This window comes from Homo sapiens, chromosome 1 (genome assembly GCF_000001405.40).
Source record: "Homo sapiens chromosome 1, GRCh38.p14 Primary Assembly".
Classification (NCBI taxonomy): domain Eukaryota; kingdom Metazoa; phylum Chordata; class Mammalia; order Primates; family Hominidae; genus Homo; species Homo sapiens.
In genome coordinates, this window is record NC_000001.11 from 5,118,199 (window position 1) to 5,141,380 (window position 23,182).

A 23,182-nucleotide genomic window follows, 5' to 3' on the forward strand; every position below is an offset into this window, starting at 1 on the left:
CCAATCATTCTATACGACAAATGTTTCTTCTAACATCCCCACAATATCACCCCTTACCACAAGACCTCCCTTCAGCTTAATCTCTCCCACTCTAGGTTCCCACACCGCCCCAATCCCGCTTGAAGCAGCCCTGAGAAACATCGCCCATTCTCTCTCCATACCACCCCCCAAAAATTTTCGCTGCCCCAACGCTTCGACACTATTTTGTTTTATTTTTCTTATTAATATAAGAAGGCAGGAATGTCAGGCCTCTGAGCCCAAGATAAGCCATCACATCCCCTGTGACTTGCAGGTATACGCCCAGACAGCCTGAAGTAACTGAAGAATCACAAAAGAAGTGAATACGCCCTGCCCCGCCTTAACTGATGACATTCCACCACAAAAGAAGTGTAAATGGCCGGTCCTTGCCTTAACTGATGATATTACCTTGTGAAAGTCCTTTTCCTGGCTCATCCTGGCTCAAAAACACCCCCACTGAGCACCTTGCGACCCCCACTCCTGCCCGCCAGAGAACAAACCCCCTTGACTGTAATTTTCCTTTACCTACCCAAATCCTATAAAACGGCCCCACCCTTATCTCCCTTCACTGACTCTCTTTTCGGACTCAGCCCGCCGGCACCCAGGTGAAATAAACAGCCATGTTGCTCACACAAAGCCTGTTTGGTGGTCTCTTCACACGGACACGCATGAAAGGTTTCACTTATAAAACCATCAGATCTGGTGAAACGGATTGACCACCACGAGAACAGTATGGGGGAAACTGCCCCTGTGATTCAATTATCTCCCATCAGGTCCCTCCCACAACACATGGGAATTATGGGCGGGATAAGATTTGGGTGGGGACACAGCGAAACCATATCAGTGCATAACTGCTGTTTAACAAATATTTGTTGAATGCGTTAAAAGGAAATTCTTAGAAAAAGGTAAAACCATGACTAGCAGACAGATATAAATATAAACACTTGCTAGAGGATGTATTTTATGCTTATAAGATGAGGGAAGCAGGCAGATGTCAGAACCATTTCACAGCAAAGGTCAAAACAGCACAAATCTATGTCTAGTAAAGGAGAGTTGAGATGAATTGCAAATGGAGACAAAATTGTTTCTTTCAAAGTAGGAGGAAGTCAATTTAAACCACTACCAGCTAGGACAGTATTTACATATCTATCACTTACCTACAATTCACAAAGAGTTTCAGAATAGCTGGGAGATAATGGGCAAGGCTGCAATCTGATAGCTCAGAGGACATGGGATAGGCAGTGCAGTTTTCCACTGAAACACAAAAATGTTTTATCTACGAATGAATGAATCACTGGTGTCATCTTGACATGCAGTGAAGAGAGAACATTAATCAATAGAAACAACTTTAAGTCAGGACCTTGGGTACAAGATAACAGTTACCACGTTTGAGACAAGTCATTGTGTTCCCAAGTTGTGTGTCTGTCCAGGCCGCTCCGGCAGAGACGTGGAGCCATGGCTGTGGCTCACGGCTGTGATCCGCATCCTTGTGGCTGCAGGGAGAGTTGCAGGGCAAACTCTGCCCTGATTCTTTTGAGCCCATGGTGTGAGCATTTCTACTCAAAGCAGGCTTAACTGTAGCAACATGTTACTCCAGAATTGTACCTTGTATCTGTTAGATTTCATAGGCAGTAGTGGTTTTTTCTTTCACTGTGCTCCCTTTATGAGCCAAAATGAGCCCTGATGCTCTTATTCATAACTGCTGGAGCAGGACTTGCAGGAAGCCTGGGCCTGACGGTGATATTTCCACTGCCTGGCTGATGACCTGGCACGAGGGACTCGCACTGAGGCTGAAGTTAGCAACTGTGCATTGGCTGCATGGCTGATTGGCAAGGGGAAGGCTCTCAGCCCTTCTCTGCCCCCTGTGTGTTCTGCTGGGAATGAAAGCTCTTTGCAGGCACAGAGGGGAGTGGCTCCCCTTTGTAAACAAAATGACTGATGTCCCTCTCCATCCTTCTTTCATGAGTGAAATTCAGTAGCATCTTTATTTAAAAAACAAAATGAGCAGGGTACGGTGTCTCACGCTTGTAATCCCAGCACTTTGGGAGGCCAAGGCAGGAGGATCATGAGGTCAGGAATTCAAGACCAGCCTGGCCAACACAGTGAAACCCCTTCTCTACTAAAAATACAAAAATTAGTTGGGCGTGGTGGTAGGCACCTGTAGTCCCAGGCAGGGGAATCACTTGAACACGGAAGGTGGAGGTTGAGCCGAGATTGTGCCACTGCACTCCAGCCTGGGCAATAGAGCTAGATTCCATCTCACAAAAAAAAAAAAAAAAAAAAGGTTAAAAGTTTTCATTCATTTGTTAAATAACTAAAAAGTGCCTGTCAGTGGTCAAGGACCTTCATATGTAAAATATCTGATGATTATAACAAATCAGAGCACTTAATGTCCATTCACCCATCCATCCACCCACTCCTACCCACCTCCACACCCACCTACCTATCCACTTATTCACCCATCCATCTGTCTATCCACCTATCCACTTTCACACCCACCCACTCATCCTTTCATTCATCCATCCATCCACTCACCCATCTCCACAACCACCCACCCATCCATTCATTCATCCATCCACCCACCCACGCATTCATCCTATCCACCCATCCATGTATTCATCCATCAAAGTATCCAGCTATCCATTCATTCATCCATCCATCCATCCAACCACCCAGACATTCATCCCATCCACCCATTCATGTATTCATCCATCAAACTATCCATTCATTCCTCCATCCACTCACCTACTTACACACCCACTCACCCATCCAATCATTAATTCATCCATCCATCCATCCATCCTCCTACCCACACATTCTTCCCATCTATCCATTCATGTATCATCCACCCATATATCCACCTATCTATCCCCCCTTTTGTCCATTTTTTATTAAATGTTATTCTGTGGACCAGAAATTGTGGTAGGCACACAGCAAGATGAGCAAGAAAGACACCATCTCTGCCCTCAGGCAGAGTTAGGGAACAAACTCAGTCTATCAGCAAAACCTATTGGCTCTATATTCAAAATATATCCAGAATTTGACCACTTCTCACCACCCCAATGCTACCATCTTGCCCTTACCTGGTAAGTAGACAAGGAGCAATCACCATCCCCATCAAGACCTGCAGGGACCTGGTGATCGTGTCCTACCTTGTCCTCTGACCTCGTTTCTTATTTCTTTCTTCCTTCCTTGGTTGGCTTCAGGTGCTCTGGGCTCCACATCAAGCTTCCTTCAGCGTAGGAGACATAGGCCAGCCCTAGAGTGTCTGTGTAGACTGTCCCCTTGGCCCCTCTTCTTGGCCACTCTTCCAATAGGTAACAGCATGGCTGATGCCCTCACCTCCTTTACACCTCTGCTTAGTTGTTCTTCTCAATGAGGCCTTAAAAATGACAATCCACGTCCTACCCTGGCCCTCCTTTCCCCTTCACCCAGCCCCACTTTATATTTTGTCCCTTCTACCTAGACACTTTTTTAAAATGTGTCTCCCTTGGCCAATTGGAATGGAAGCTCCAAGGAGCAGGGACATTTGTCTGTTGCTCCCTGTTGTGTCCCAGATGCTCACAACAATGCCCAACACAGGGTGGAACTCAGCCAGTCTTTGTTGAATGAATGAAGGAAGGAAAGAATCAGCTAAGCAAAGAAAGTTGAATTAGTACAGCAGTTTCCAGCTATGGGGGCAATTTTGCCCTGGAGACAATGATGGGGATCAGAAAACACACCCTAAAATATGCCACTTTGTCATAAAGGTTATTTTAAGCTGAAGACACTTGAGATTCAACAGATGCAGGAAAAAAAAAGCCCTCAGAACTTTAGTTTTCTGACCCAAAGCAACTATCTTTGGGAAGTGAGGCTGCCATAAATTTCTCTTTAAGTCAAATCTACTTCCAGAAGGTAGAACGGGAATAAAAACTACCCCAAATCTCTCTCCAGGGTCGTTTTATGTCCCCAAAGGAGGCAGAAAGACCGCTCACACCTGAATAGACAAACATTATCACAAACTTTATCTAGTCTTTGTTCTCCTGAAAACCCATTTATCTTTCCAAAAAGCCATTTTTCTCCCCTGTAAGTGCCTTTTCCCTCCCACTTCATGTATTAAGATGGTAAATAAACCCCAGATTCTAACCACCCCTTGAGTTACTCATCACTGAGTTCTCTATGTGTGCTTTGCATGTGTAAATAAAATCTTTCCCCTTCTCTTAATCTGCCTTTTGTCAGTTTAAGTTTCACTGAACCTAAGAGGGTGAAGGAAAGGTGTTTTTCTCCTCCCCTGCTAGGACATCTCGGAGTGTATGGAGACATGCCTTATTGTCCGTTGACAGGACTTGGCAGGGTGCTTAGTGGCATTTAATGGGTAGAGATCAGAGATGCTACTAACCATCCTACAATGTGGCCTACAATCCTACAGGGCAGCCCCCACACTGACAAGGAATTATCTGAAACAAAACATCAATAGTATAGAGAAACCCTGAGCCAGTGGTTATAAATGGTGTTTAAAAAATCACTTTATTGAAGTAAGAGTAATGTACCAATAAATGCACCTATTTAAGTGCACAGTTTGAAGAGTTTTGACGGATGCATACACCCCTGTACTCGTGACTTCACTTCAGAAAGAAAATATTTACATGTTTCTAAAATGCAAAATCATGCCCCTTTCAGTCAATCCCTTCCCCTCCTCAGACAACCACTTGATCTCATCATTCTCACCATAGCTTAGCTTTCCCACTCTAGAACTTCATGTGAATAAAAGTATGTGTGTTTCGTATTGGGTTTCTTTTGTGCAAAACCATGTGTTTGAGATTCCCCTAGTTACATGTATCAGCAGTTTCTTCATTTTTATTGCTCAGTCGTATTCCATTGTGTGAATATATTACATTTTTTTTAATCCATTCTCCTGCTAATGGACATTGAAATTATTTCCAGTTCTTGGCTATAAAGAATAAAGCTGCTATGGACACTCGTAGAGTCCATTTGTGGACATAGGTTTTTATTTCTCTTTATCAATACCCAGGCATAAAATTGTTGGGTCTTAGGGTAGACCTAACCACATGAGAAAGTGCCAAATGGTTTTCCAAAATGAGAGTACCATTTTAATTTTAATTTTTTTATTTTTTATTTTTATTTTAGAACTGGGGGTACATGTGAAGGTTCTTTACATAGATAAACATGTCATGGAGGTTTGCTGAAGAGTATCATTTTAGTCCCGCTAGCAATCTATGACAGTTTTTGGAATTGGCCATTGTGTTAATTTCAGCCATACAAGTGGGTGGAGAGTGGTATTCACAGAAGTTGAATTGGGGCATTTATCAAAGTTTTGGTTATTCTAAGTGAATTCAGATGTCTCCCTCTTTCCATAAGGTCCCTATAACCAAATACTGTGACACGATTAGATCTCAAAACGGTAAGATCTTGGGTCTGCTGGACCTGGAAGTTGCTAGTCTGGGGGATGAACAGAGCATGAGGTGGCTGGATCTGGGAACAGCAAGATCATCACACAACAATGCTGCTAGTCTTCAAAACGGTGACACCACAATGCAAAAGCGTGAGGTTTCTTTTCTGCTCGGGCACAGCTGTTACTTTCTCGGCAAAAATTTCACAGAAGAGTATAACTAAGGAGAAAAGATTATCCTAATATATGGGGTGTCACCGAGTTCAAATCCGACAAACCAGCCACAGGTGTGACTGCATTCAGCTGCTTTCCCGCCCATGGGCAAGTCCGCCGTTCTTAGCAGGCTTTTAGCTCTGTTTTACCTGACCTTGGTTTGACCATTTGCTCTTCTGTTCACCTAGGGAAGATTTAGCCCTCTGGAGTTTAGTTCTCAAAAATTTCCTTCTGTACTTCTTTCTTCAGTGGCTTAAAAGAAAAGCTTCGTTTTGGTGATTTCTTGTGGTTTCATCAGAAACAAACTTATTTCGGCCAGGCACGGTGGCTCAGGCCTGCAATCCCAGCACTTTGGGAGGCCAAGGTGGGTGGGTCATTTGATGCCAGGAGTTCAAGACCAGCCTGGCCAACATGGTAAAACCCCATCTCAACCAAAATAATACAAAAATTGGCTGGGTGTGGTGATGCATGCCTGTAGTCCCAGCTACTCGGGAGGCTGAGGCACGAGAATCACTTGAACCAGGAGATGGAGGTTGCAGTGAGCCAAGATTGCACCACTGCACTCTAGACTCTAGCCAGGGCACACAGCAAGACCTGTCTCAAAAAAAAAAAAAAAAAAAAAAAAGAACTTATTTCACTGTCTTCTGTATGCCAAATGGGAGTGGAATCTCTCATTACAGCAACGTGTGGCAAATCCCAGAAGAATGGAATCACAGGATGCTCTAGAAACCCAGAGACAAGTAACTAATTTGAGGAGTCAAGGAAGACAGTCTAGAGGAAGCTAGAGTAAAAATCATTGGTAGGAAGTGTGCGGAAACAGGGGGAAGGTGCAGAGTGTTTCAAACCAGGGAAACAAGAGTCAGGGGAGAGTACAGACAAGGAGGAAAATGAAAGAATATGAAGGCAGGAATGGCAAAAATAAAGCTGGATCTGGTTTCTTCAATATGGTAGCCTCTAGTCCCCTGTGGCTATTGGGCATTTGAGACGAAACGGGTCCAGGTTGAGACGAGGTGTCACTATTCAGCTATATACACAGGACTTCAAATCCAGCTATAAATCACTGGATTTATAGTATACACTAGACATTTGTAGATAATCTATAATTTATAATTATAGATAGATCCATAATTTATAGATTTATACTCTAAATCTACTATAAATCCAGCTATACACCCTGGATTTCAAAGACTGCAAGAAAAATATCTCTAACAATTTTTGTATTGATAATATGTTGAAATGATATTTCAGATATATTAGGTTAAATATACTATATTATTAAAATTAATGTCATCTGCTTGTTTTTAATTTTTTCAATGTGTCTACTGGGAAATTTAAAACTATATTTGCAGTGTGCATTCCATTTTTATTGGGTAGTGCTAGGCTAGAAACTCATGCAGCACCAGATCCTGAAGGGCCCTAAAAGCTATCATGCGGGGTTTGAAGGGTGCACAAAGTAAATAGAAATGATAGGATCTGATTGATGGGTTGGGATTTTAGAGAGCTAGTAAATATCTCCTGTTTTCCGGAGTTCTGAATTAATCCACTGGCATAGTGGACAACCGTAGGACCCCTGGAGGCAGGCTCCTGTTATAACGTGGTATGAGAACGGATGTTCTCTGTGGTCAGAAAGATCGCAGAGTAAGCAGAAAGGAACAGGCTGAAATGAGTATGCCTCACTTCTCCTAAACTTGCCTACCCAGAAATCTTTCCTTTTCTGGGCAGAAGTGAAAGAGGGACTGAGGGAAACCAGGAGTTGGGAAGTACCCAGAGGTCCAACGTTACTCCTCCAAGCTTTCTCAATGATATGGGATGATTTTCCTTTTGCAGTTGTAACAAATAATCAAAAACTTAGTGGCTTAAAACAATGTATATGTATTATCTCCCAGCCCTGGAGAAGTCCAGGTCAGCTCAGCTGGTTTCTCTACTCTGGTTCTCAGAGGCTAAAATAAAGGTGTCAGCTAGACCGAGTTTCCATCTAAATGTTTGGAAAGGATCATTCAGATGGTTGACGGAATTCAGCTCTGTGCTGTTGTGGGACTGAGGGTTCCACTTCCTCATGGGCTGCAGGCTGTGGCCACCATCCCCTCTCAGGGGCCTCTCTACAGTCCTAGCACAGCAGGCCCACCTCTCAGAGCCTGCTCACATTTGGACTCTTTAGGGCCTCCTGTTTTGCTGAATCTCTTCTGATTGCCTCTTCTTCCAACTCAGAGAAAAACCTCTTCTTTTACAGACTCCTGTGATTAGATGAGTCCTGCTCAAATAATCCAGGATCATCTCTCCCTGGCTCAAGGTCCATAATCATAATCCCATCTATAAAGTTCCCTTTACCATGTAAGGCCACAGATTCACAGATTTGGGGATTAGGATGTGCACGTCTTCCAGGGGAACTCTCACTGTTCCACCTACCATACATCCTAAATGAAATACAGAGATATCCTATATTTAAATATGTACATTTGAAACCACCTTTGTAAACTTATGATGGAGACACTGAAAGAGATCAGACCTAACTGACTCCATCTTGTTTCTAACCTCCAAGCTGTCCTTGTTCATTCTTGGGTGTAGGCTGAACTAACTTTGGGAGGAACTTAGTTTATAGTTTAAAACAAAGATGATAGCCCTCTCCCAAAACAAACCTCCTTCTTGCCTGGGGACTAAACTGCCTTTGTAGGACTAAGAAATTAGCCACAAGATTAGAAACTATGGTTTAGGAGTCATGCAGCTGGAGGGTACAAGATTCTGACCCCTCCCTAAACTGCTCCTAAGGTCCGTGGTTGAGATGTTTTGCAGACTCTGCACTTGATGGATCAGCTGGCACCACCCAAATTGATAAACTGGCTCATCTGATCTTGTGGCCCCACCCAGGAACTGACTCGGCACAAGAAGGCAACTTCGACTCCCTATCAGGACACAGGATTTCATCTCTCACCAATCAGCACTCCTGGCTCACTAGCTTCTCCCCAACCATTTCATCTCTGACCAGTCAGCACTCCTGGCTCACTAGCTTTCCCCTGACCACTAAGTTGTCCTTAAAACTCTGATCCCCAAATGCTCAGGGAGACCAATTTGAGTAATAATAAAACTTGGTCTGCTGCACTTGGTCTGCTGCACAGCGGGCTCGGGGTGAATTACTCTTTCTCTATTGCAATTCCTGCATCTTGATAAATCAGCTCTGTCTAGGCAGCTGGCAGGGTGAACCCATTGGGCAGTGACACATTCTTTTGTTATTAATTTCTTGAGAGGTAATTAAAATTCAAAGGTATTTTCTTTGCCTCAGTGTCCTCCTATAGAATATGGGGAAAATACTGAACTCTACTTCCTGAGGCTGTTGCGTGTGGTTGCAGCTATGCCAGGTAACAAGTTAAGTGCTCAGTAAAGGCAAGTCATTACCTTTATAGAACAATACTGATCTGCTTAACAGACAAGCTACCGACACAAATCAGCCCCTAGCAGCAATGTCATCTTCCACATGTTGTTCGTGTCCCACCTGCCAAATGGTGCCTAGTTTTCCAGGTTCCCAGGCAATGTGCCATGTTTTTCCTGTCTTAGGGAACCACCAATGAGACTGGTATTCTGTTTGGAAAGATTACCTGTTTCTGCATTTGTCAATATAAGTATAGAGAATTGCTAAATAGGGGGGATGATGTGAGGACCCTACTGAAGGGACTTTGGTTCGGATGCAACTTTCCTCACCCTATCAAATTTGCACAACCAAATTGCAATGGTAACAAATGAGTGCAATTATACCTACCTGCTGAGTGCAGCCCCCCATGCAAAATACAGGATGGTCGATGAAGACTATTCACACCTATTCCCTCCTGTGGTCTGGTTGGCCATGGGCCCTGCCTGCTTGGAAGTGCTTATTTCAAGATGCATCCCCATCTATGCTGAAGAAAGAGGCACCACCAGCCACAGCCAGCACCTCTGGCTTTGCGTCTTCTGTGCAAGGCCAGCACCTGCTTCTACAGCAGTGCCCTTGAGGTCCTTTTCCTTGGCCCTTGCTGTTGGAACTCAGCTGCCTCGTCCTTTTAACTCCACCCATCAGGTGACTCTCACCATCTTTGCTGAAGTTACAGATATTTGCTGGAATATTTATTTATTTAAGAGTAATTTAAAATATCATTTCAGTGATGTAAGTGATATTTAGGTTTTTGGGTTTTTGGTTTTCTGGATGGTCTGTGGTTTTTTAATTTTTTATTTTTTATATTATTATTTTTGAGACAGAGTCTCAATCTGTCACCCAGGCTGGAGTACAGTGGTACAGTCTTGGCTCACTGCAACCTCCATCTCCTGAGTTAAAGTGATTCTCCTGCATCAGCCCCCCAAGTAACTGGAATTACAGGTGTCCACCATGATGCCTGGCTAATTTTTGTATTTTTAGTAGAGATGAGGTTTCACCATGTTGACCAGGCTGGTCTCGAACTCCTGACCTCAGGTGATCTGCCCACCTCAGCCTCCCAAAGTGCTGGGATTACAGGCGTGAGCCACTGTGCCCAGGCTGGATGGTCTGGTTTTGAATTATTCACCCTGGCTGCAATTGTGCCCATCAGATACGTTTTGCTTTTGTTTGCTTGTGCATTTATTTTTCCCCTCATAATTTTTCAGAATTCAAGCTTTTGAAAATATATATGCAGTGGTTTTGTAGCTTGGAGTATTTATTCAAAATACTTTCTTCTACCCCTGTGTACTAGGTCTACTGCTCGGGTCCTCCTCTAACCCCCTTTGTATGAGATGAAATGAGAATATTTCCCCTCTATTGCTGCTGGGCTTGACCATGTGACTTGCTTTAGCCAATGAAACGTGAGAGGAAATGATGTAAACCACAGCCAGGTAGAAACTCCTGGATTCTCTGCCCTTCCTCTTCTTACTGAGAAGTGAAGTCTAGATCAGGGAAGCTGCTTCAGCTTGGATAGGAAAGGACATGGAGAAAAGCTGAAGTCAACCCACCAAGCAGTCATGTAATGTGAGTGAGAAGTAGCCTATTATGTTCATAAGCCATTGAGATTTAGGGGTTGTTTGTTACCAGGACGTAATGGATGAAAGCTGACTGGTGCACCTGTGTCATCGGGAATATCCGCAATTACTCAGTCCCAGGGCAACTAACTTCAGGGCGCCTTGGCATGGAGCAGGCCCCTTTCTACAATTCAGTTCATAATAGCCACTTTCTGCCTTGACCCTTGAAATATCTTGCTTGATCATCCAGTCCTATCTTCTGCAGCTGTGACAAATTTGAAAACCATTGTTACAGTTAGTGTAGCTACACAATGTAAAAGGCTGCAGGGGCCAAGCGTTCAGTGGCTCATGCCTGTAATCCCAGCACTTTGGAAGTGGATCACTTGAGGCCAGGGACTCAAGACCAACCTGGCCAATATGGCAAAACCCGGCTAAAAATACAAAAATTAGCTGGATGTGGTGGTGCACACCTGAATTCCAGCTGCTTGGGAGGCTGAGGCAGGAAAATTGCTTGAACCTGGGAGGTGGAGGTTGCAGTGAGCCAAGATTGTGCCAACACACTCCAGCCTGGGTAACAGAGAGAGACTCCATCTCAAAAAAAAAAAATAATAACAATAATAATAATAAATGAAAATAATAAAGAACAAAAAGGCTCCAGGGCTTGCATCATTTTGTATATATGTTATAAATCTTTATTGGGTTAACTCACCGTGATTGACTGATTGATTGATTGATCTGTGTTGTTGTTACTGTAGACTAGCATAGCCCACCCTGACTTATAGAGATATATACATCTGTTACTCCAGGTAAAAAATACGGACCCAGACGGAACAATGAAATGGAATAATAATGGAAATGGAAATAATGTAAATGGAATAATATAAATAATATAATGTATTATAATATAAATAATAATAATATATTCAATAATATAAATGGAAATCAAAGCCATGAGAGCAAATGGAATTCTCTATCCAAGTATCCAAGGAGCATTGGCCCAGCAGTGAGGGGAAGATGCTGTTTTGAATAGGAGCAAGTTCAAGTGCCAAGTTCAGCAAGGCTGAGGATTGAGCACCAGTTTCTGCTCTATCAGTGTTCTGGCAAGTGCAGTGTCAGAGGGGAGACAAGAGAAACAGCCAGCTCTCAGAGGGTTCAGCTGTGCTTGGGAGGCTGAGAAGCCAGAGTGAAGGCAACCCTTAGAACACAAGTGATGACAAATGGCAGACACGGTAGAAGCTGGAGAAAAATGTAGAAACAAAGGAATTCTATATAAGATTAAGCATTCTCACCTCATTTTAAAATGCTGATAAGAAGTTGCTTGGTTAAAAACACATAAGAGTTAGGCTAATTAGGGATTAAAATCCTTGAGAAGGTGTAATGAGAGAGAAATAAAAGGCAGAGAATGTGCAGAGGGATTAACTTTAGCCCAGGAAACAGTCTCTTCCTTCAATCAATTAAGAGAAGGAAACAAAGAGATAAGAGCATGTGGGTAGGGGGCTTGGGCTTGAAGAGTTGATGCTAGAAGGGAGAGCTCTCATACATTACTTCACATGCTCATTAGGTGTATGTTCTGTGCCAGGAACTAGTGTGATGGTGAGGTGGGAGGGTGGAGACACGAGGAAGGGGAGGTGGTTGTTGAGGGGATGGGAGGGTGGGGGCTCTAAGAGTGGGGAAGTTGAGGGAGTGGGGAAGTGGTTGTTGGGAGAAATGAGGGAGAAGTGTGGGGAGGTGGTTGTTGAGGGGGTGGGAGGGTGGGGGCTCTGATGGGGGAGGTGGTCGTTGGAGGGGAATGGGGAGATGAGGGTATAAGTTTAGGGAGATAGTTATTACAGGAGTGGGAGGCTGGCTATGAGAGTCAGGAGGTGGTTGTTGGGGAATATGGGAGAGGAGGATGGGGAGGTGATTGTTGAGGGGGTGGTGGCAAGTGACTGGGGTTTTGCATGGGTCTCCCTGGTTCCCAGCTATTTCCCTGGGTTCAGATGAAATAACTGAATCAGTTACACAGTGCCACACTAAGCATAAGGCTCTAGGTCTCTAAAGCCCAACTAATTCCGAGGATTCAGAGGACAGGAGCAGGAAGCAGGAGGCCCCCTGGCAGAATGACTCCTTCTCTGCAGCCTTCATCTATCAGGGACAGACCCCACCTGCGCACCTCCGTGCTCCCCCTCTCCTGCCCTCTCTCCAACCCCGTGGCTTCCGCCCCGCCCCATGCACTTGGCGTCAGTCACTTGGAACAGTGCTCTGAGCCGACTGGGCTCTGTTTGCGGAAACGATGGAGGAAGAACGGATGTGAACCCTCTGGACACATGAGTTACTCATGCTGAGGATACAGCCCTATGTGCGGGCAGCCACCTAAGATCACGCCCACGGGTCCCCATGCATTCTCCTCCCACCTGCTTCCTACTTGATAAGGGTTGTTTAGGGTAAATATGTGCGATAAATGTATTGAAAAACAGGCAACTTCAACTCCCTGGCTTTGTTTAGGATGGCTATTACAGACTGAATGTCTGTGTCCCCACAAAATTCATATGTTGAAACCTCAACTCCTAATGTGATCGCATTTGGAGGTGGGGAGATAATTAGGTTTAGATGAGGCCATAAGAGTGGGGGCCTCATGATGGGATTAGTGTCCTTATAAGAAGAGACTCAGAGGCCAGGGGGAGTCGCTTATGCCTGTAATCCCAGCACTTTGGGAGGCCAAGGCCGGCAGATCACCTGTAGTCAGGAGTTCAAAACTAGCCTTGCCAACATGGCGAATGCCCGTCTCTACTAAAAATACAAAAATTAGCTGGCTGTGGTTATGCGTGCCTGTAGTCCCAGCTACTCGGGGAGGCTGAGGCAGGAGAATCACTTGAACTCTGCATTCCAGCCTGGGTGACAGAAAGAGACCCCATCTCAAAACAAAATAAAAACAGAAGAGACTCAGAGAGCTTGTTCTCATTTTCTCTCTCTCTCTCTCTCTCCCTCTCTCTCCTTCCCTCTCCTTCCCTCCCTCCGCCTCTCTCTCTCCACCTTGTGAGGACACAGCAAGAAGACAGTGTCTACAAGCCAGAAAGAGAGCTCTTACCAGAACCTGACCATGCTGGCACACTGATCTTGGACTTCCAACCTTGAGAATTGTGAGAAAGAAATTTCTGTTGTTTCAACTGCCCAGTCAATGGTATTTTGTTATGGCAGCCCAAGCTGACTAATTGAATAGCTTATAATTTAAAAATAATAATCTTAAAGCAAGGGAACTAGTGGAGTTCTATTACATGTCTTTGTTATTTTTCTTCTCCATGGTGGGCTTTGGCTGTGATGCTAGTAGTTTTATTTTTTCCTTTCATTCTATTTTTCTGTATCTGCAAATATTCTATCATAAGCATCCATTTTTTTAAATAAAAAGAAGTAAATGTTTTTATTTATGATTTTATAAGTTAGAAAGCAGATTTGTCTATACCAGGCATCTAGAATGAAATTACTTCTAAAATTGAGCACTAATTTTAGGGCTAAGTTTTTGGCAGTGAAGGCTAAAGGGAAGATTTTTATATTTCTTAGAAGTTGTTTGATCAAGGTATGCATAAAAATGCTGCCAGAGAGAAACCTGGAGCCACCTTCCAGAAGGAATACACACAAATCCTGATATAGGAGACATAGGTTAACCTAACAGGTAATGTCTGAGTAGTGCTGTAGGCAAGAAATAAAAATATTTTTCATAGGCGTTTTCTTATATTTCCCTTCCATGGAAGTTGAGGAGGTAGTATTTTGTCATGCCTACATTTCTCACAAATTATAAATGTGTTTATAGTCTAGAAGAAAAATGTTTTCTAATAGTCTAACTTTATCCATGGACAAGCTGTAAGGAACTAGAAGAATGAGCAGGTAACACAGACGATCTCTCTGAAAACATCAAAAGCCCCAGGTGAGTAATTTTTATAGAGAGGATGGTATATATATATATATTTCAGGCAGAAAGTCCTGGAAATTGGCTACGTAGGAAGCAGCCCTCAGTTCCAGACTCCATGTGAATGAAGCCAGACAGTAAGAGCCCTCAAGTCTTCTCCATCTGTTCCCCAGAGGCTGCTGAAAGGACCCAGGGAAGAGCTCATGACTGTGGTTTCATCCGTGTGGGGCCCACAGGCATGTTCACAGAGGATGCGGGTGCCTGGGGCCCAGGTGGGTATCTCCAGAACAGCTTCCGAAACACTAAGTTCCATATCCTGACATTGAAGGGACTGGCCAGGAACTGATCCTTCAGCAAGAGGGAATCCACATGGCTGGCCCTAGCAAATCTGTGTCCAAACCGTTTTGTTGAAAAAGATACACCACTTGGGGTTGGATGAAAATGATTTTCTAGGACCATCAGAGCTTGAAGATTTGTCAGTCACTGAGGAGGATGCTCATTTCCCACTGGACCACAGCGGGGCAGCTTGTGTGAAGGCAGGTGTATTGGAGCTCATCTGAACTGGGTACCACATTCTAATTCTTCTTGATTAGCATCAGGGCTTCAGACAGGTCACTTCACCAGCATGTCCTTTAGCTTCCTTGGATGTAAAAATGCATTTCGTGATAATGAACCCAGTAGTTCATCTGTCTTTGCTATTGCAGGAGGAGACGATTCTATTGATAAGGGACACCTCGGGTGCTCACTTCCACTCTTGCAAAATGGCCCCAGTAGACCTCACTCTCATTTCCAAAGAAGAAGAGCAGGCTGATTCACTGCATAGGTTCAAAGGGGGTTGGTGACATTAACCAGTATTTGATTGATTAGTGAAAGATGAGGGCTGTTAGCAGGACAGCACTCTTCCCTGAGTCTGTGTTGGCCTGGGTGTCTACAGAATATTCAGCATTTAGGCTTAATCCGTAGGTGTGGTAGTGTGGTTGCAAGGGGCTCCAGATAGACTCCTAAAGCTATGAGAATTTTTGCTCCTCTGGGACCCACAGAGACACTTCCACAGAGGCCAGAGGCTCCACTCAACATCCATCCCCTAGGTCTGAGGGACACATGGTTACAGGATACCTCACGCCCCAGACAAATCTGTGTTTCCTCTCCAAAATAATAAAGAGGGTTGGAACGAGTTTCACTGAAGACTGAAAGTCTATTTCTCCTTCCCTTCTAGCCAGGGAGGTTAGGAGTAGGTGGCAAACTTTAAGAAAATGAGATGAGAAAGTGAGTTCTGTTTTGACATAACAGAGAAGAAAGATGTGCACAGAAAGAGATTGATCTCCTTGAGTAAACGGAGCCCAGAGCATTTTTCTCATAGGCCATATTCATTTACCAGTGCTTGAGAAAATCATTCCCTATCATTGTCCCCGCACCATAAGTCACATTCAGAATCTCCTTATCAAAACAAGATAAGGATCAGAAAAAAATGAGCTGGAGAGAACACATGCTGCCTAAGTCTGGGAAGTCATAATCTTAATATGAACGGCTTAAATAGCCCAGCTAACGAGCAGGTTCACTCTTAATTTTCTAAAACAATGGCAGCTTTTGCCAGCTCTTTATCAAACCAAGATGGGACTTATCACAAGATGGTAAATGATTTCTCATCCATTATTTTATCAGTACCCCTGATTTATTTATTACCCTCAAAGGCATATTACTCTTAAAGTTTCTAGACTTCCTCTAGGAGGTGGCAGGGTGAGGGTGGAGAGAAATCCCACTGGTGGACTTGATCAAGATTTCTTGCGTATGTTTCTTTTTTATTTCAGTACATGATTAATTCACCTGTTAATCTGTAAAAACTTCACCCTCCCCATCTCTGTCCCCACCCTCAGTGGCAAAGAACTATTCCTGTCCTTGAAACATTCTCAATCGAGAAATGTTTTTGACAACCGTTCTTTTTGTTGTTGTTGTTGTTGTTTTGTTTGTTTTTATTTTTAGAGACAGAGTCTCACTCTGTCACCCAGGCAGGAATGCAGTGGCGTGATCTCAGTTCACTACAGGCTCCGCCTCCCGGGTTCAAGCCATTCTCCTGCCTCAGCCTCCCAAGTAGCTGGGATTGCAGGCATGCATCACCATGCCTAACTAATTTTTGTATCTTTAGTAAACATGGGGTTCCACCATGTTAGCCAGGCTGGTCTCAATCTCCTGAGCTCAAGTGATCCTCCTGCCTCGAACTCCCAAAGTGCTGGGATTACAGGCATGAGCCACCATGCCCGGCCGTATCTTTCTTGTTTTTTGTGTTCAACTTGTCTTACAAGAAAAAAATAATAATAATAAAACAGCAGAGATGAGGTAACACCGACAAGAATTAACTCTTCAACTCCTCGAGAAAGAAATCCTTTCTCCGTCTTTATCTACTGCCTTGAGTAGACTTGGAAAAGATGTCCACCATTTACTGACCTATGATTTCACCAAATTCTAAAGATCAAGGCAAGAAAACCTGGCTGAAGTGGGATCTACCAGTAATTCACTGAGAGACTGAACATAAAATTAATGATTTGCTCCCTGGGTGAGTTCCTGCCTGTACAGCCGAGAGCACCACAGCCCCTTCTTCTTGGGGCTTCCGATTCAAGGACATGACAAAAGGATCCGGATTGGCTGAATGTGATTCAGATGGAAAGGTACACAACAACATCTACATCTACATGCAGTTGTTAAAATGTGGCTTGAATGAGACTCACCCTCATTCGTCCCTGTTTCCCCACCCTCCTCATTATTCACCTCCTGCATCTTCTTCTGTTGGGGGTGGTGTTTATGGCATTCCTCTATTGCCTGGAGAGTTGTCACAGCATTTTGATGAAGAATGGTTTGTTTTTCTGCAAAATCCTGAGTTTCATCCAATTAACCTTTATCCTCTTTGTTATATTAATTTGAGCAGCCCTTGGCTATGACAAGAAAGAACCTCCCTTTTCCTCCATCAGCTCAACCCATCCTTCTCTTCAAGACCAACCTCTGCACTCAGGGAGGGCCCCACTTCCCCTTCACCACCCTCAGCTCACATTAGCTTGCTTCTGGCAATAATTTACAATTCGGATACTTACCAGAATCACCTGAGGGCCTGCAAAGTCTGTGTTTGGAGCCATCTGGACACAGGTCTAGATTTCTGCATTGATGTGGGCAGGGATATGGCCTAGGCATCTGCATTGTTTAAACTTTCCAGGAGATCCCAGTACCTTAGGAGGATGAGACCCTCATGGCTGCACAATGCACACTGCTACCTCCATGCCAAGGCATTCTGATTTACGTGGTCTGTGATGGCACATGTGTGGGGATTCTCAAAGGTTTCCAGATGACTCTTGCACAGGTTGATGGAGAGCCGCCAGCTTCCTCCTTATCGATTGTGCGACAAGGTGTGAATATTGCCTACAATGTCACGAGTAGGCCTGCTGTCCTCTTTCCTAGAAGCTTGGAGTCCCAGGGACAGCACAGACTGCATGAGGAACAGAATGACTAGACTCATTCCTCGAACCCGAAGCTCCAGCACCACACACAGTTCTCCACGCCCATGTGACATTCATCTCCCCAGGGCCAGATCCAGATTTTTACAGGGCCTAGTTCCCATTCAATTTGGAAAGGGGGCCTCCTTGATAAATGATTTCCAAATTATGGGTAGAAACTGAGGTTTGGAGGCTCCCTTGTGGCTTTCTTAGCTCCGAGGTTAACACGGATCACCTGCTCCCAGGTGGGTTTGCTTAGATTGCTAGCAGCCTGGTGGAGTCTGTAGACAGATCTGTGAGGACCGGGACCATTTCCCCCACCTTTCAGGGCTGTTCTGGACCCTGACATTATACTTGGAGATATTTCTTCTGGAATCACACGCAGATGAAAGCTCCAGAGAAAAGGCCACTCATTCCCCCAGAGGATGCGCCCAGCTCTGCAAGAGGCATCAGCCCTTAATATATGGAATGTATTTTGCCAGGACCATGACGGTCATTAGAAATGGGCCTTGGGTGTCATTACCCCAGAGTCATCGTGGTGAAGTATGTGTCCTCTGAGTAGACAGAACATTAGAGCGCCCTGAACTGAATTGGTCAGCCGAAAACACCAGAGTGTTTTATCCTTGGAAGGAAATTAAGCCATTTATTGGAGGACAGAAGTTCAGTATAATAGTTAAAGCAATCTGACATTTCCATAAGTTAATAAAATGTGTATGGCTGGCATAATTCGGTATGTAAAAGCATTGATCTCTCCTCCCCAAGGTCCCAAAGGAGAATTCTGGGCAGTAGGAAGAGGCAGAAGGTCAGGGTCAATGACATTAGACCTGTGTCATTGAAGATCAGCCCGCCTGAGCAAGAACCCCATGCACCCATGCACACTCTTGCACTCACTCCCCTACTTCCCCACTCCCCCACTCCCCCACTCCCCCGCTCCCCCACTCCCCCACTTCCCCGCTCCCCCACTCCCCCACTCCCTCACTCCCCCACTCCCCCACTCCCCCACTCCCCCACTCCCCCACTCCCCCACTCCCTCACTCCACCACTCCCTCACTCCCTCACTGAGGTTGCTCATTCACGTGCACATTTTTGAGACTCAGCTCAGATCTTGCCCATTTTCTGTGTCTTTCTCCCACTCTCTTGTTCAAAGCATACACTTCCTGATGCATACATGTGGAGCCTAACTATGATCCTTTCTCAGGCTCATACTGTGAAGTATGGCAGAACCATGTATAGCACAACTATGAAGACAGGCACCTCTCAACTATGAAGACAGGCACCTCTCAACTATGAAGACAGGCACCTCCTGTGCTAATCCTTTAATTCTCAGCACTTAACAGAGAGCCTGGAGCAAACAGGCACTCACACGCCGGCTAAATGAATGAAAGAATGTGAATGTACCATCAGGTGTGTCTTACTTGGTAAAATCCCTGCTCATGTGACGGCATGGTGGAATCTGAGTGGTGTTTCCAGGTCTCTCAGGCACTAACTCTGGGGGTCCTTAGGCAACACCTCACATTCCATGTCTATTTCCTTACCTATAAAATGGGGGCAATAATGGCACCCACTTTATTGGGATTAAATGAGATTATTTCTACAAACATTGGTAGAGTGCCTGACCTACAATAAACATTTAATAAAGTTCTGCAGTTATTGTTTTGCCAATGGCAAGCTCTTATAAAAAGAGATGAGCTCACAGAACCACGTTTATTTAAAACATTTGCTTTTTCTTCATCTCTGTCCCTAGCGCTCATAGGCAATATTTTTGCAGTGGACATAGTTTTAGCTGGGGTAATAATAGTATGATTAGATCCTCAACTCACGTGGTGGAAATCAAGAGCAACAAGGAAATGTACAACTCTCCCGGGAGAGTACACGGATGATGTCCAAAAGCAAATGGTACGTTCAAACTCAGCAGGAGTGAAATGGATGATAGAGATGCCTTCAACTAGCCCACAGCAAATTATCCGCTGATTCTTCTCCACTGTTTAATTAGGGTAACACAGCCAACACAGCTCAGTACAAAGAAACCATTTTAATGAGTGTTCACAGTGAAATCAATGAGGCTGACAGGTAGCAAAATATCTCCATTTGTTTTTCTTGGATATAGGCACAATTGGATGTTGAATTAGGTCAAGGGCAGGGTCAGCATGTATCATCATGCCTGCTGTGGATGCCACGGTCTGGACCTCTTAGAAGCTGCCCTTCCTTCTCTAAACCCACAATGGGCATTCTGTGTTGGCTTCTTGTCCCTTGATGCTCAGGTGAGTGGTTGGAGCTCTGTGCTGGTGAGGCCCCTGGATTTGCCTGGGATGAGGATTTTTGCCCCTGTTGCATATCCTAGAGACCTTCTGTCATGAACAGTGTACCTAGGAGAGGAATTCAAGCATTATATGGATGCCAAAGTGAATGGCTTTAAAACCCTGAGGTCCTATGACCTACAAAAGTGTGTCTCCCATCACCCAGAGCCCTATTTGAATCCATTCTCATGAGATACAGGTGGCAGTAAGAGGAACACTCTCACATGAGTCTGAGCAGAATAGGAGGGGTAGACAACCCTTCACCATTTTAGCCCCTACATAGATAGGACTACTGATACCCAGATTGTACACTGAATGTGAGAGACTCGTGGTTTCTCCCTTATTCCCAAATATTCCCAGTACCAACAGTTTCCTTGGATAGTCTCCCCAAACCTGGGACTCCACCCAGGGTGGTGTTTAAGAGATGGTAAATGAACTTCAGGGGGCATTGGGGAGCACTCAGGGTATGGAGGAACATAGCATCATGCCATGAGGAAATCATTTCCTTTACTTTCAACCCTGCTGATTATATCAAGGAGGACATAGAGTTGGGCGCTGGTTTGGTTGGACAATCTTCATGTCCTGCCAACCTCCCATTTGAATAGAGAGAGCAGCGTTATGTTTACAGTCTTCAGCAGGCAGTAAAAAAGCGCCTAGAATTTGATAACGCTTTTCATTTTGTAATTATTTTATAGTTTATTTTACTTAATTCCATTTACAATTAAAATGTGATTTCTCTCTCAAAGTAGTTTGTTTTGTTAGAAAAAGTTACTTAGCTTAAATAAAACATAAATGACCTAGTAACACAGGTGCATTGGGAGAGACTGATGACTTCAGAGTTGCAGTCCTTGGTTGGTGGTTTTGGTTCCTGGATGGGCGTTGTCCTTGATGGCTCAGCACCAGCTGGGTGGGTGTGAAAGGGCAGTGGGTGAGGGTTGTCAGCAGGACCCCAGAACATCAGCTCCCTCATCCTGACATCAAGTGTCTGCATGAATTTCTTTGGAAGAAAGGGCCTCTGCCACTGACACTAATGTTAGACAGCTGTTCCAAGTGTTCTAGGAGAAGATGAGCTAAACAAATGGGCTCCACACAGGAAATGCTCTCTGGGAATAAGCGTGGGTGTGGAGTGGAGGTGATTGAGTCCCAGAGTTTCTCTGGAAGAAGATGGGCTCAGCTTTGACATTGCTGGGGAACTTGAAGCAAACACCACTTGGGAGCTTGTTTACTCATATCCTCTGAGGGATACAGAGGCCAGTGGGGAGCAACATGGAGATATAATTCTAGAATCAGGGCACACTCCAGTCTGACACCCATTGGCTGTGTGACCTTGAACTTGGGCAGTCAACTTTGACTTTTATCACTTGCAAAAGGGGTTGAAGACTGCTCAACATGAAGTGCCATTTAAGAAATCCCAGTGAATGCTGATACAGAGTAGCAGTGCTTGTTGAGGGTCCAGTAAGAGCAGTCATTATTTTTATAGTCAGATGGCAGGAAGCACCTCTCTCCTTGATCCTATCCTTTCTTGATGGGCTTCAAGGACATCCATAGCTGGGCAACCATAGGGCAAGACCCTCACTCCCTTGCCAACCCACGTCTCTCCAATAGGAGCCAAGCTGGCTCACTTGAGTTTCACTTTGTGTATTCAATTGCCAAGTCCCTGCCAAAGTATTTTCTTCTATTAAGTGTCTAGCAGAATCTGTTCATGCAACATGTTGTCATCATCTGCCATTTGAAGCTGATTCAGCCATTAGCACCCCTCTATGTTTCTATAAATATTTAAACTACCAATACTTGCTAATCGCCTCGGTATAAAATTAGGAAGGATCAGAGGATGTTGATTCACCTTGGTTATTAAAAAGTCAGCTTAATCTTTAGTGCTGAAGTGCTTCCTGCTACTAGAAGATGAATGTGAGTAAGCAGATTGGAACGTGCACAGGAGTATATGTTTTGTTTTGTTTTTTTAAGCCAAATAAATCATTCTAACACCTGCAGCCCGCACACTAATTGGCCTGTGTCTTCGTTGCAGTGGTACTTCAGGCCACAGTTAGGAATAATTCTGTATTGTCTCCTGTTTTCCCTACCAACTTTCACATCCTCATCTCACACCCAGCCTTCCTCGTGGTGCCCCTGCAGAGGACCGAACGCCCCACTGACCTTGTGAGCACCACTCTGTATTCATGGATATGCAGATTGAGTGTTCCAGAAGATGGCAGGCTTATTAGACTGAGTTTGTAGATTGAACGTTCCAGAAGATGGCAGGCTTATTAGACTGAGTTTGTTTGAATTTATAGTGAAGACCTCTCACCAGATGGTCAGGGCTTGGTTTTCAGGTAAGCCAAAATATAGGAAAAGGGGTTTTTTTTCTTTGCAAAAATTCAGCTCACCAGATCCCAGGGTCAGTGTGGCAAATCGTCCTCATCTGGATTCGTATTTCCTGGCCCCTTGCCCATGACAGGCATCACGAGTTGATCACAGCTCTGTTTCCCACAGATCAAGGATTAGAGCTCAGGGTCCTCCCTGGTGCAAGCAGTCACCATCAGGTAACACCTGATGAAATCTCTTTGTGGTCCTGGACTTTAGCTATTTTTTTAAATTGAAAGGAGATTTTTTTTCCTTGTAAAATAGAAATCCTTCTATATACAATCATGGAATTCTCATGAGTTTGCAATCAGTATTGACATTGACTCATCAAAGACTATGTGACCCTCCCAGTGAGTCTGGGTGGTGCTTGTTCCAATTTCCAGCTGAATCTCCTTGCCCACAACAGAGCTTCCAGATAAAAGGTGGTGACTCGCTGAAGGTCACAGGGATTTGTGGAAGAGTTGGGTGTGAACCATTTTCCATATCTTTGCCTGTTGCCTTTTCCACCATGGGCTATGAACATTTATTCAACCACACAAACCATTTCTTACCAGTCTGAAATAACTCTGTCCAGCCTAGAGAAGATATT

General features: G+C 44.4%; 1 long non-coding RNA gene across 1 annotated transcript, besides 1 other annotated feature; it reads left to right on the forward strand.

Annotated features, from left to right (window-relative positions):
• Positions 212-880: an enhancer, noted in NCBI's record as "OCT4-NANOG-H3K27ac hESC enhancer chr1:5178470-5179138 (GRCh37/hg19 assembly coordinates)". NCBI's record gives its function as "activates a minimal SCP1, AML or CMV promoter by ChIP-STARR-seq in naive and primed H9 embryonic stem cells {active_cell/tissue: H9 hESC(naive and primed)}" and the evidence as "EXISTENCE:reporter gene assay evidence [ECO:0000049][PMID:30033119]".
• LOC105376682 (uncharacterized) lies at positions 13,658-17,113 on the forward strand. The gene is made up of 3 exons (XR_946906.2): positions 13,658-13,692; positions 14,521-14,728; positions 16,923-17,113. It is a non-coding gene; the product is annotated as an uncharacterized LOC105376682 (long non-coding RNA).
• The last annotated feature ends 6,069 nt before the right edge of the window (positions 17,114-23,182 follow it).